Source organism: Homo sapiens, chromosome 15, assembly GCF_000001405.40.
Source record: "Homo sapiens chromosome 15, GRCh38.p14 Primary Assembly".
Lineage (NCBI taxonomy): Eukaryota > Metazoa > Chordata > Mammalia > Primates > Hominidae > Homo > Homo sapiens.
The window spans coordinates 72,398,034-72,411,678 of record NC_000015.10 but is presented as its reverse complement, the minus strand read 5'-3'; the positions used below and the strand labels follow the sequence as shown (position 1 = coordinate 72,411,678).

At 41.4% G+C, this 13,645-nt stretch overlaps 1 protein-coding gene and 1 long non-coding RNA gene across 7 annotated transcripts in view; one reads left to right on the top strand and one right to left on the bottom strand.

Moving 5' to 3' along the window:
• The window catches only part of TMEM202-AS1 (TMEM202 antisense RNA 1), a 66,461-nt gene extending 62,561 nt beyond the window's left edge, over positions 1-3,900 (top strand). Inside the window, exons 3-4 of the long non-coding RNA NR_135678.1 lie at positions 2,163-2,305; positions 3,834-3,900. This is a non-coding gene — a long non-coding RNA (TMEM202 antisense RNA 1). The remainder of the gene's footprint in view (positions 1-2,162; positions 2,306-3,833) is intronic.
• TMEM202 (transmembrane protein 202) lies at positions 3,312-13,374 on the bottom strand. Of its 6 annotated transcripts, none has more exons than XM_011521497.3 (5): positions 13,264-13,374; positions 12,771-13,026; positions 4,928-5,077; positions 4,462-4,593; positions 3,312-3,988 (listed from the first exon to the last, which is right to left on the bottom strand). In XM_011521497.3, exons 2-5 carry the CDS (start codon positions 12,988-12,990, stop codon positions 3,786-3,788), a joined length of 705 nt encoding a protein of 234 aa, XP_011519799.1. In that variant the 5' UTR covers positions 12,991-13,026; positions 13,264-13,374; the 3' UTR covers positions 3,312-3,785. The 6 variants fall into 6 exon arrangements, 4 of the variants coding, with proteins under 4 accessions (XP_011519799.1, NP_001073931.1, XP_011519801.1 ...); NM_001080462.3 differs by having other exon boundaries at positions 13,272-13,374; XM_011521499.3 differs by lacking the exon at positions 12,771-13,026 and adding an exon at positions 5,640-5,709 and having other exon boundaries at positions 13,272-13,374.
• Between the last annotated feature and the right edge of the window lie 271 nt (positions 13,375-13,645).

Below are 13,645 nucleotides of genomic sequence, written 5' to 3'. Positions count from 1 at the left end.
GATTCTGTCATGTATCTGTGCATCCTAAGAATAGTCTTTATCACATTATACCCCAAATTAATCTAGAATGATTTCATATTCTGATTGTTGACTTTGTTAGTTTTTTTCTGAACTTTTTTTTTCAGACAGAGTCTTGCTCTGTTGCCCAGGCTGGAGTGCAGTGGCATGACCATGGTCACTGGAGACCCGACCTCCCGGGCTCAAGGATTCAGAAACTACAGGACTTCCCAAGCTCCTAGGACTACAGGAGTGCGGCACCGCACCCAGCTAATTTTGTAATTTTTTGTACAGATAGGGTCTCACTATGTTGTCAGGGCTGGTCTCAAACTAATTGGCTCAAGCAATCCTCTTGCCTTGGCCTCCCAAAGTGCTGGAATTACAGGCATGAGCCACCACGCCCAACTGAACATTTCTTTACATGTCTGGAATTCTTATTTGTAGGCACAAACATTTGGTTTATTTGTTTTTGTTTCTTTCTCCCTCTATGCTTATTCTATCATACCTGGTAGTTTTGGGGTTTCCTTACATTGGCCAAAGGCCTCAGTCCAGAATCAGGTCTGATAATGTGATATTTTAGATTTTCTGTTCTATTATGCTACCAAGGAATATCAGAGACACAGTTAATGAACCCACAGGCTGCTTAGTTTAGCAAGGTTATATTTGTGTCCTTCTCCCTCGTTAGGTCTGCTGTTCCAAATAAGCTAGTTAGTGCTGGGCAGCAGTTTTTGTTTAGCTTCTTTTCTAGAGCTCCTCTTTGATGTAGGGTTGTGAAGCTGGCTTTAGTCCGTGTCTTGAGAAGCACTTTTAGTCCCTTTCACCCCATAGGAGCTATCTCCCTGTTCACCTATGCTTTCTCTGGGACTTACAGCTTACGAAGTCTAGGGCTTAGCTTGAATCATACCATTGCTTTTTTCTTTTTTCCAGTCTATGAAAATGTTTATCTCGTTTTGACTGGACTATTCTCTCTCTCTCTCCCTCTCTCTCTTCCCACTTAACCTATTATAAAATATATACGGAACAAAGAGAGTGCACGAAAGGGTAATTTACTGAGCTATCTGACTGGAAATTCACTTAAGTTTTTTTTTTTTTTTTTTTTTTTTTTTTTTGAGACAGGGTCTCACACTCTGTCGCCCAGGCTGGAGTGCAGTGACTCAATCCCAGCTCACTGCAACCTCAGCCTCCCAGGTTCAAGCAATTCTTCTGCCTCAGCTTCCCAAGCAGCTGGGATTACAGGTGCGCGCCACCATGCCTGGCTGATTTTTGTGTTTTTAGTAGAGACGGGGTCTCACCATATTGGCCAGGCTGGTCTCGAACTCCTGGTCTCAAGTGATCCGCCCGCCTTGGCCTCCCAAAGTGCTGGGATTACAGGTGTAAGCCATAGCACCCGGCCCACTTAAGCCTTTTAAGGAATTATTTACAAGCAAAGAAAAAGAGAAAAAAGAAAATAGAAAGCATTCAGTTTCTAAAGGAGCAATGAAAATTATCTTTGCTTAAAAGATAATTCTCCAGTAGCAAAGTGGAAAACTTAGTTATAATTACTGCCAATTATCCTCTAATAGCCAGGGCACTTGTTACTGTCTTCCTTTCTTTTCTTTTTTCTTTTTGTTTTTTGAGATGAAGTCTCACTCTGTTGCCCAGGTTGGAGTGCAATGGCGCAGCCTCGGCTCACTGCAACCTCCGCCTCCCGGGTTTCAAGCAATTCTCCTACCTCAGCTTCCCAAGTAGCTGGGAATACAGGTGCCTGCCACCACGCCTGGCTAATTTTTGTATTTTTAGTAGAGATGGGGTTTCACCATGCTAGCCAGGCTGGTCTCGAACTCCCGACCTCAGGCAATCCGCCTGCCTTGGCCTCCCAAAGTGCTGGGATTACAGGCGTGAGCCATCGTACCTGGCGTTACTTTCTTATTATCTCGCTTCTTCCACCTTCACTCAGACTTACTTTCTTCTCTTCGCCCCATTTAGAACTTTTGTTCCCTGAAGAGTCATCAGTGTTCAGCATCCTGTCAATTTAGTCATATAATGAAAGTATTCAAACTAAATTACGAATAAAGATTGTGAACCCAGTGAGTACTTAACCAGTTAATGTATAGGTTAGAGTTTGTGTGAGTGGTAATGTGAGGAGGGAGAGTTGGCTTTGACTACATGCCTGTTCTTATAAGCAGACAAAGGCCCAGAAACAGCCTGAAGAGCCTCTGAACTAAGGCCACTTGAAGCAAGGAGGCACAAGTAATTCTGCCATAACGAAACTCACCTGATTGGAAGAGGGGCGTGAAGAAAGGGTTTTCTAAGGCAGGATCAAAATGAGGTGTGTGTATATATGTCTGTTTGTGTATCTGTGTGTGGGTGCATACAAGTGTGTGCTGTGTATAAGCTCCAACCCACAGGAATAAAAGCATAAGTATTAACTTAAAGGGCTTCCAGTTACCATCTGGAAATGTTTGGGAATTACTGATCAGGACCAGGATTACAAGAATTATATAATTGCTCAATGTCTATTATTTGGGTTTTCTGCAAAGGTTACTAGTGAATCTCTAAATTAAACCAAATAGACCCAAGGGCTTATCTTTACATGCAGCAAGAGGTGAAGCTGGACACTATAGTCCATTTCATTGCCAGCTTTGGGGAGAAGAATGGATCTCAACCAATACAGCAGTAGTGGCAGCAACTAAGGGTATGAAAGACAAAATGAGTATCAGGAACTTTATGTGTGAAATCTAGTCTGAGTGTGAAAGGGATCTTTAGCCATCAAAAGACCTATATGATTGCCTGAAAATACCACCTCCTCCCTCCGTACTTAGCTTTACAGGATATATAAAACATGGAAAATCTTTCAGTTTGTATAGATATAGATGTAGATGTATTATAGATATAGATAGATAGGCCTATCTATCGATCTATCATCTATCAATCTATTATCTATCTATCTATTTATCTATCTATCCATCTGCTGAAGGAAGCCCTGTAGTCCCATTTGGCTCAGTAAAACATAATTGATGCTTAAGGAATCAAAGCGGTCACCAGCCTGTCAAGAATTTGATGGAGTTTACATGAAACTATCTTCTGGGGGCGGGGCGGGGGGAAGGAAGAATCTGATGGAATCTCTGGCTCTCTTCACAGAAGAATACATATACAAGTTTTGTATAGAATTTCAGGGAGTTTGTGGATGCCTGGTTAAGGTATCTCCCTGCCTAGGGAGAAGCAGTGGTTTTACGTAATAGACTGTAAATGTTTCAAATTACCAATCCTCACAGTAAGTGGGACCCCATGGATTCCCTGGAATCTACCCAGCACCTCTCAGTTCCTTTGAGTAGTAGGTCTTATATCCATTGATATTTATTCCATTTCTGGTAATGCTATTAAGTTCAGATTCAACAGTATTTGTCCAAGTGCTTTCCATCCTGAGTATACCCAAAGCCACACATAATAAAGAAAATTCCAAACAGAAGTAATTAACATTCTTCTCCACGGGCCATTCTGGTCCATGAGATCCCTGATACCCAAAGAGGTCTCTGGTCTACACACTGCATCTTTCACTAGTTTCTTTCATTCATGACTCTAAACATTGTTGTTTTCTTTTAGAAATGTTTTTCTTAAGTGAGTTATTTACTTTATGACTATCATATATATTTTGGATCCAATGCACGCAAAAGACATTTCATCAGCTTTAATGCTGTCTCCTCAAGTAATATGGACATGATATTAGGAGAGTTTCCCAGAATTTATGTGACCATTCCCAACTCAGCTTCTCCCCTGCTTTTAAGACAAGCTATAGTTAGGTTTTCCTATCACCACCACAGTCCTGACTTTGGTAAATTTTTCTCTCTCACACTTAGAGATTCCATCTCAGACCTTGGCCCTTCATCTTTAGCAGGTGATACTGTAGTCACCGGACCAACCCCCAGCCTTGATCTCTCTGTTGGAATCACAGTGACGTTTTCATCACAGGCAGGCGATCTGGAAGTTAAGTAGTTGAGAAGAGAGATGATCCCTACGGGAAGGGAATAATTTGAGGTGAGGTTCAATAGGCAATGGTCTTTTGGCTTTTAAAATTCTTATGCATCCTTTAATAACCAGTTCAAGAGGCATCTTTTCAGTGAACCCCTCTCTCCCCCAGTGGAGTTACTTTACCCTCCTGTGCTCTAATTGCATTATAATATTTCTCAGACTGATTAGGACAAAGCTTGAACCTCCTGGATTCAGATCATAGTTCCACTATTTTCTGTGTGGTCTTGGGCAAGTTACTCAACTTGTCCATGCCTCACTTTGTGATAGAGCAGGTTACTAATGCTAGGTTTTCAGACTCTAAAATCCACCCTTTCTTCATTATGCCCCCCTGACTCTCCAAGTATCAGTGTTCTGAAAAGGAACAGTCAGTGCTTCTATTTCTCCTGGATTATACCTCCCTTTCCAGAAGCGATTTCCCTATCCATCCTTCTAGCATAGAGCAGGGAAGTGACTCACCAGCAAACATGTAAAAGATGTCACTGCACCAGTTAAGATAATAGGTCCATAGGAGATCTGACTCCATGGCATCCCTAGTATGCCAGTGAACCTGTGCCACAAACAGGTTGAGGCAGAGGAGCAAGCAGGTAGCTAGGACCAGAAGGAAAGATGTCACAACCCATCAGCATCTTCAGTCTGTCTTCCCCGCCACCCCCAGCTCTTTGGCCTCCAGAGGCCATATGTATAGCGAGGATCAAAAAGATAAAAACCTGGGGACTGACCAAGATGAGAGAAAGGCTCTATACCCTGGTAAAGTCAGCTAAGGTGTGTTCTATATAATTAGATAAGGCAGATAGCTGGCAAGTTGGTGTGATACTGAAGAAGAGCAAAGAGATAAGAAAAAGAGTATGAGAGTTCCACAGAGAAAATTTGTTACCTTGACTATTTTACCATGGTAAAATACCCTGCCAGTCTAGGTCTGTACCTGAGATGAAGCTGAGCATGGATACCTTCAGATCCAAGTTGGTGGTCATGCTTCCTCGATTAAGGATCCAAGAGCTGAAGAGCCAGCCAAGGCCAGTAAGTATGGTAAAGACAGAGATGAGAAAGAAGGCCCTGGAATATTGGAGATAATCTGCATGAAGAAGAGGAAAGGAAGACCGTGGTTAGTCCAGTGAGGGACCTTCCCTTAAAAAGGCCAGATAGAGTCTTAGAGAAGGATTTAAGAACAAAGGATGATGGAGCAGAGCTTGCTACATGACATCCTTTTTGCTTGGAATTTCTTTACTATGATTGTTAAACTAAAGATAATATACAAATACTTCTGCATGCATTGATTTAGATATAAACTAGCTTATAAAAGGTGTCACCAATGACAAAACAGATTAAACCTTTTTCTTGTTTCTAATTCTAATTCTAAAAGTAGTAAGTAATACGCGTTCAACATAAGTATTCAAAAGACTACAAAAGAACAAAGAAGCAGGAAAAAAATTAGCCACAATTTGACTACCTAGAGGCAACCATTGTTAATATTTTATTTTTCTACCCTCTGTACATAGTAGATATGATACTAGATATCATGTGGGTTTTTTTCTTAAGAATATATGATGTGATTTTCCCCATTATCTGTTGTAAATATTATTTTCGATGGCTACAAAATATTCTATCATATTAATATACTTTGCTTAATGACTTACCCATTGTTTAGTTCCATTGGTTTTTCACTTCCAGCTCTATCTGGCATGTACAGGCCTTGTCAGCCTATGACTACAAAATGAAGTCACATTTACTTTATTTATCTATTTCTTTATTTTATTATTATTTTTTTGAGACAGAGTCTCATTCTGTCACCCAGAGTAGCTGAGATTACAGGCACATGCCACCATGCCTGGCTAATTTTTGTTTTTTTTTAGTAGAAACAGGGTTTCACCATGTTGGCCAGGCTGGTCTTGAACTCCTGACCTCAGGTGATCTGCCCGCCTTGACCTCTCAAAGTGCTGGGATTAAAGGCGTGAGCCACCTCGCCCAGCCTCATTTACTTTAATTCCATATTATGATGATTTCAAGCCCCAATTTACCAAGCTGCAGGAACTTACCACAAAGTGTTTCCCTCCACTTTTTTTTTATTCTGAGAGTCCCCCAAAGTCCTATCTCATATTTGTTCAAGTTGCTCTTATCCAAGTGCCACACCTCTCCTTCTTCCATCTTTGGCTCTAGGTGTCTTCTCTTTGGCTCTGCCACTGCGGACTGGATGTTGGTAAGAGAGCAGCGGGGATATGCTCAACCTTACTTTTTGCTACCACATCCCTAAGATGGAACAGGTTCTTCGACTTCCCCATCAATATTTTACTGAAGATTTAGAAGATAACTTATAATTACAAGTAGCTATAGCTTTTCTGAGCTACCAGACACCCAGGAATATCTTCAGTATCCCTTATAAGGTGCCTCCTTATCTAGCTTCTTTTTCTGTCCCAGTGTAGCAGGGACCAGCTCACCCCCACCCCAGTGGTTAGAAAGTTCTCTAACCACTTATATGCCTAAGAATCCAAGTCCAGCTTCTGAGTAACCCAGAGAGCAGAAATTATGTATCAAGCTTATCCAGTCTAATATCTGCCTCCTTGTTTCATTTTGTTCTCCAGAACCTGCCACTTACTAATATGATGAATTGCAGGAATTTCCATTCAGAGAAACCACACCCCTATCCACAGATGTTAAGTTGCTCTGTAGCCCTAACAAGTGAGCCACATTAAAACATAGTAATTCACAAGCTGCACATTTTCTGAAGACTGGGTTATGCAGAATTAGCAGTATATGTAGCCAGCCAGAACATAAGCCCAGATTGAGCTGTATGAAGCCCAGGGTAACAGGCAGCCTTTGTGGTATTTAGTCCACAATCCTCCATGAGCTCTAGCAGCCCTTGTCTATAGCCCTTGACTATTGTCTGTATAGCCCTCTGACTATAGCTACCTGGACTAAGCATGGGAACCTGACCCATCCTGGGACAATTTTATTCTTATGCTTAGAAATTGGATTTCCTCTTTTGCTTGCTTGAACTGAGAAGATGTAAAGTTTGACCGGGGTATCACCTTTTAGGCACTTACACACTAATAAACAGGAAAAACTGAGCTGTAGAGATAAAACAAAACATAAACAAAGCTGAATGACAAAGTGACTGTAGAAAATCTGAGTGACTGGCTGGCTTGATTTTCTTTATCTGAGATCCCAGCCTCCTCTGGAATCCCCTAAGGTCCAGCGAACTTCCTGCCTTGGGAGTCTATGTTATTCTTCTGAGCCACATTTTTTTTTCTTTATCTTTTTCTTTGAGACGGGGTCTCAGTCTGTAACCCAGGCTGGAGTGCAGTAGCATGATCTCTACTCACTGCAGCCTCCAACTCCCAGACTCAAGCTATCCTCCCACCTCAGCCTCTTGAGTAGCTGGGACCACAGGTGCACACTACCACACCTGGCTAATTTTTTGTATTTTTGGTGGAGGTGGGGTTTCACCATGTTGCCCAGGCTGGTCTCAAACTCCTGAGCTCAAGCGATCTGCCCACCTCAGACTCCCAAAGTGCTGGGATTACAGTCTTGAGCCACCACACCTGGCAGATTCTTCTGAATCTTTATAAATAAGTTCACTCTTTAGCTTGCACTAATTCAAATGATTTTAATATTCAAAACACCAAGGAGCACTGTCGAGGATATTTCCTGTCCAACTCCAGCCTAACATATAAAGTCCAGTTCCTCTTCTACCATGAGGAGAAGACTGCAACTTTATATATTTCTTACAATTCTCTCTGTGTTACCTTCTCATCTCCTGAAAACTACATAAACAAGATCCTCACAACTCTGAAGGAACAATTTAAAGATGTGCAGCATAGAAGAGTCTAACCTTCCCAAAGTAACCAAGTCTATTAGGAATAATCATATACAACAAATTATATAAACAAACTACACACTTATATTCAGAGTCTAAGACATCTGCATTTGGTTAACTTTATAGTTTTTTAATTCATATTACTCTAAATAAATAAATGTCCAAAAGCTGATTTCAAGCTTCTATCTCCTGTAACACCAAAGCTAATTTCAGCTTTTAAACAACAGTTTTTACAACAGCTTACTCATCAAAGTTTCAAAAATCTTAGGATCTAAATCACAAAAGGCTCTGCTTGTATGTTTCTGTAAGAAGCCTTGGTCCGGAAAAAGGAGTGCCTGAGATAAAACGAACACCCCTGTGTCACCTGTCTGGGTCAACTGTATCCAAACATTTTTGATGTTTTCCTTACTGATATACTTTGATGCAGACTTAAGTTACAAGAATACCAAGGCACTTCTCCCAGCTTACTGAAACTAATACCTTGGGAAGAGAAAGGATGTCACTTTCAATTTGAGGAGGAAGTACAAATCATCTGAAAAACTTGGTAAGATTTTCGTAGATGTTCTCGGGATCAGCCCAGCATCAGTCAGCGATGCTACACTTCAGAGTACCATTGGGTGAGATGTAAAACCCCTACCAAGATTGGAGGGGGCATCACCCAACCAGAAAGCAGTAGTGTTCTGTGGCATCCCCTCAGATCTCAGTGAAATGAGAACGTTCACCATTTGGCAGTTTGTAAATAATGGGCGGGATCTCCTTCTACTGTTGTGGAAGTAAAAGTTGGCCAGGGAGCTTTTGGAAAGTGGTGTTGCTGGAGACAAGCTGGGGAATCAGCTCACTTATTTAGCCAAATCTGAACTTCCACGCTGCTGCCATTGTGACCGCTTTCAAGGCACGGAAGGCAACATACAACTTCTCCAGGCTCAGATGAGGTGCCCCAAGTGGGTGGTTTTGGAATGGAAATGATCCTGGGTGGAGACTTAGGACCCTGAAGAGGTATCTATGAAATCTGCTTAGTATTTAAGTCCCCTCGTAACCCAGTTGGAGTGCCAGAATAAAGCATCCCTACACAGCTTGGCAATGTGTACTATATGGTTGTTCCTAGGGTCCTAACTCTAGGGTGCCCAGTGCCTTGACAAAAAGACTTACCCTTTCTTTCCCACGCTCTGCAAAACAGTTCAAACTACTCTCTGTGGCAATATATCCTTTATATTTCAGCCTGATCTCACCAGTGCTATGGGAAAATAACAGAAGGGTCTGTTCTACACTTGAGACTTCCTAGTAAAAGTGAAGAATACTGTCCTTTCCTCCCCATCCCTTCTTCATCCCATTAGCAACAGCCACAACAGAGAGGCTGTCAGTCATCTAGACCCAGGTGAACTCAGAGACAGAAGCACAACACCCTGAAGTGAGCCCAGGGAATAGGAATATGAGCATGCACATTCTTAAACACACCTGAGATAGCCCCTGTGAAACTTACGAAAATGACTTATGAAAGGAAACTGTCAGGGAGGGGAACGAAATTCTTGCAATCCAGTAGGTAAAAGTTTGAAGTCATTGAATTGGACAGTAATTATTAGACAATAATGTATTCGGAGGCCAGGTGCAGTGGCTCATGCCTGTAATCTGAGCACTTTGGGAGGCCGAGGCAGGCGGATCACCTGAGATCAGGAGTTCAAGACCTGCCTGGCTAACATGGTGAAACCCCATCTCTACTAAAAACACAAAAATTAGCTGGGTGCAGTGGCGCACACCTGTAATCCCAGCTACTTGGGAGGCTGAGGCAGGAGAATTGCTTGAACCCGGGAGGGAGAGGTTGCAGTGAGCCAAGATCGCGCCACTGCACTCCAGCCTGGGTGACAGAATGAGATTCGATCTCAAAAATAAATAGATAAATAAATAAATAAATAATGTATTCGGGCAATAATAACATTATATTGTCACAGGGAGATGAGGCCTGGACATTTTGCTTACATTGTGGGATATTTCTTATGAGATCTGTATTGCAGATTAATTACTGACTCTTGAATTAGAGCTAGTTATAATAACATGGAAAATAGGGTGGATACTTGATTTATACTTATGCACCTTAAGGATTCAGTTGACTTTCTCTAAATAATTACAGTCTGTAGAGATAAAACAAAGCATAAACAAAGGTGAGTGACAAAGTGACTCCACAAAATCTGAGTGACAGGCTGGCTTGATTTCCTTGATTTTCTTTATCTGCATAAAGGTGAATCCAGGGCTCCAAGAAATAAACTATTCACTGCTTTAAGTGACATAATTTCGGGATTCTAATGTATTAATTTTTTTCTTTTTTGAGACAGGGTCTCACTGTGTCACCCAGGCTAGAGTACAGTAGCTCAATCTCGGCTCACAACAACCTCTGCATCCCAGGCTCAAGCAACTCTCCACTTCGGCCTCCCAAGTAACTGGGATTGCAGGTGCCCACTACCACGCCCAGCTAATTTTTGTATTTTTTGTAGAGACAGGGTTTTACCTTGTTGCTCAGGCTGGTCTTGAACTCCTAAGCTCAAGTGATCCCCCACCTCAGCCTTCCAAAGTGCTGATATCAGAGGTGTTTGAACCAGAACAACTCCATCTTGAATAGGGGCTGGTTAAAATAAGGCTGAAACCTACTGGGCTGCATTCCCAGGAGGTTAAGGCATTCTTAGTCACTGAATGATAGGAGGTCAGCACAAAATACAGGTCATAAAGACCTTGCTGATAAAACAGGCTGTGGTAAAGAAGCCAGCCAAAACCCGCTAAAACCAAGATGGCAACAAAAGTGACCTCTGATCATCCTCACTGCTCATTATACATGAATTATAATGCATTAGCATACTAAAAGACACTCCCACCAGTGCCATGACAGTTAACAAATGCCATGGCAATGTCAGGAATTTACCCTATATGGTCTAAAAAGGGGAGAAACCCTTAGTTCCGGGAATTGCCCACCTCTTTCCCCAAAAACTTATGAATATAATTCACCCCTTGTTTAGCATATAATAAAGAAATAGCCATTAAAATGGGCAAACAGCAGCCCTCGGGGCTCCTCTTCCTATGGAGTAGCCATTCTTTTATTCCTTTACTTTCTTAAATTTGCTTTCACTTTACTCTATGGACTCATCTTGAATTCTTTCTTGCCCAAGATCCAAGAACCCTCTCCTGGGGTCTGGATCAGGACCCCTTTCTGGTAACACTGGGATTACAGGCGTGAGTCACCACACCCAGCCCTAATTTATTAAAAATTTAAATAATAATCTTAAGGATGAAATTTTAGCCTGGGCACCCAGTTACATAAATATGATTGCAGCTTAATCTTTTTGCCTAAACCTTTTAATCCATTTCTAGTTATTTCCTTGGAATTAATTTCTAGAAATGGAATTATTTACTCAAAGGAGATGAACATTTTTAAGTCTCTGGATACACCTAATCATATTGCTTTAGTTATACCAATTTGCATGGCATGTACAGGAATGCGTATGGGAGTGATAGCAGTTGCATTATCATTTAAAAATCTGTTAATATGGTGGTTGAAAAGTTACATCTTGTTATTCATTTGATTTACCTTTCTTTAATGATTGAGGTTAAATTATTTTTCCTATGTTTATTAGATAGTTATAGTTCTTCTTTTGTGCATGTCTGTTCAAAAAGAACTTATTTATTTGAGTTTGTGTCTTTGTAATACTTTGTGTATCCTTTTACTATATTAAGGCCATTAACCTTTATCTTTCATAATTGTTGCAAATATTTTCTCTAGTTTTCGTTTTATGCAGTTGAATTGTCTGTCTGCCTTTGATTTTAGTTTCTTCTCAAGATCATGCAGGATACTGTCCCTTAATATCAAATGTCACAGCCCATGGCCAAACAACTGATGCTGTACCTCAGAGTTGGGCACAGGTGCTCCCCTCCTGCTTATGTGAGGAGAATAGATGGGACCCCTGCTTATGTGATGAGAATAGATGCTTTACTCACATATGTTTTCTTTCACAATACCCACTTCTTTGTGTAAATGTATATCTTGCGGGTTATGGGAAAACTGTCAGTGTAATGATATCTTTCCTCTAAGTTTTTGGTTTGATTGAAAAATTCATGCATATGTTATTTTTAGCCCCAAAAACTTATTTTAAAATATTTTGTGTTGCACTTTCAGATTTATTTAAATTCACATAAAATTTGACATAAATAACATTATCTTCATAGCTGGCATTTGTTATACCACATATCTAACGTACATTTAAGTTCTATTCCACTGCTAGGAGAAGAACAAGCTGACCTTGAAAGTTAAATCTAATAGAGGTTAAGATATTTGCTTTATCTTCCAGCTATGATCAATCACTTCTCTTCTAATTCTGCAAGCCACATTAGAATACCAATCACATTGCTTAGCAGTAACACCTTGTAAATGAGTTATTCCTAGGGCAGGCATGGTGGCTTACACCTATAGTCCTGGTACTTTGGGAGGATCACTTGAGGCCAGGACTTTGAGACCAGCCTGGGAAATATAATGAGAACTTGTCTCTACAAAAGAAAAAAAAATTTAAAAAAATTAAAAATTAGCCAGGAGTGTTGGCACACATCTGTAGTTCCACCTACTCAGGAGGTTGAACAGGAAGATTGCTTGAGTCCTGGAGGTGGAGGCTGCAGTGAGCAATGATAGTGCTTTTGCACTTCGGCTAGGCGTTAGAGCAAGAGCCTGTCTCGAAAAACCAACCAACAAACAAAAACAGTTCTTCCCATAAAGAGAGTATAACCCATTATTTAGGACAGGAAACAACCTGGAATAGGAGAGAGAAAGGGCACACTGAGGATACCAAAGAAAGATCCATCCTGCACTTGGAGAGGTGAAGGCCAAAAGATCTTGGAGGAAGAAACATGAAGGGCCAATTTGTGTGAGCAGAAAGCTCTGCAATTGTGTGGGGCCTGTGGCATTTAATTCGGTGGCACTCACAGGGTGGCTTGGGTGTGTGGCTCCAGCACAGCTCATGGTTGCATAAGGTCCAGAGTCCTGCGTAGAGCTCAAGGCCATTCTTGATCACCAGAAACTGTACCCAGTTCAGTGGGGACATGGCGATCAGCATTAGGAGGCTAAAACTACAGAGGCTGCCACAGAGCGTTCGGATGTAGATGTGTGCCTGATCCATAAGCTGCTGCTGCCTTTGGCATGACATCGAGGCACTTGGATGTTTCTTGGCAGGGACGGTAGGCTACAAGGATGAGGGAAATATTGCCTACCCGAAAGAATAACCCCTGATCCCCAGGGTCACCCGCTCTTCTCTACCTCAAGCATTCCCATGTGTGTTTGATTTATAGATATTTTTCCCTACTCCTAAAAAAAAAAAACCCCACAATTTTCAGGGTGATCTTTTCTGTCTTTAGGATGCTCTGTGTAGCCCTGCCTTTAAGTAAGTTCTCTTCTTCCCATCTGACTTTCAATTAGATACCTCCTCACCCTTTGGTATTTCCGGTTCCCCTTTATTTTGGGAACCTCAGGACTGTGGAAAGTCAAGGTTAAATGTTCCCTTCGCTCCATCTTGGCAGTTAGTTCTCTAACTGCCACGGAATTTGTCTCTGCATCTCCTCACACATGCTGGCAGAAGCAAAAAGGGCCAGGACCCATGGCATAGATCCTGTTTCTGTTTTATATTTTTGATCTGGTCAGATCAGGAAGAAATCACCACATTTTAAGCATGTGCATGTATGTGTGATGCTCCCCACCCTCCATTCTCCACCTACTCCCAACTCTTTTATTAAATAAATCCACAAACATTTTGTTAGCAGTGGCTGTGTGTCAGGCTTTGTGCTAGCTTCTGGGACACAAAAATA

Bases quoted from the DNA above. Each gene is read 5' to 3' on its own strand.
- TMEM202 (NM_001080462.3), bottom strand. From the start codon at position 13,352: ATGGAGCGAAGGGAACATTTAACCTTGACTTTCCACAGTCCTGAGGTT. The intron at 13,027-13,271 runs GTGAGGAGGTAT...TCATCCTTGTAG, and splicing joins GGAACCGGAAATACCAAAGG to CCTACCGTCCCTGCCAAGAA. The intron at 4,594-4,927 runs GTACAGACCTAG...TTCTGGTCCTAG, and splicing joins CATGCTCAGCTTCATCTCAG to CTACCTGCTTGCTCCTCTGC.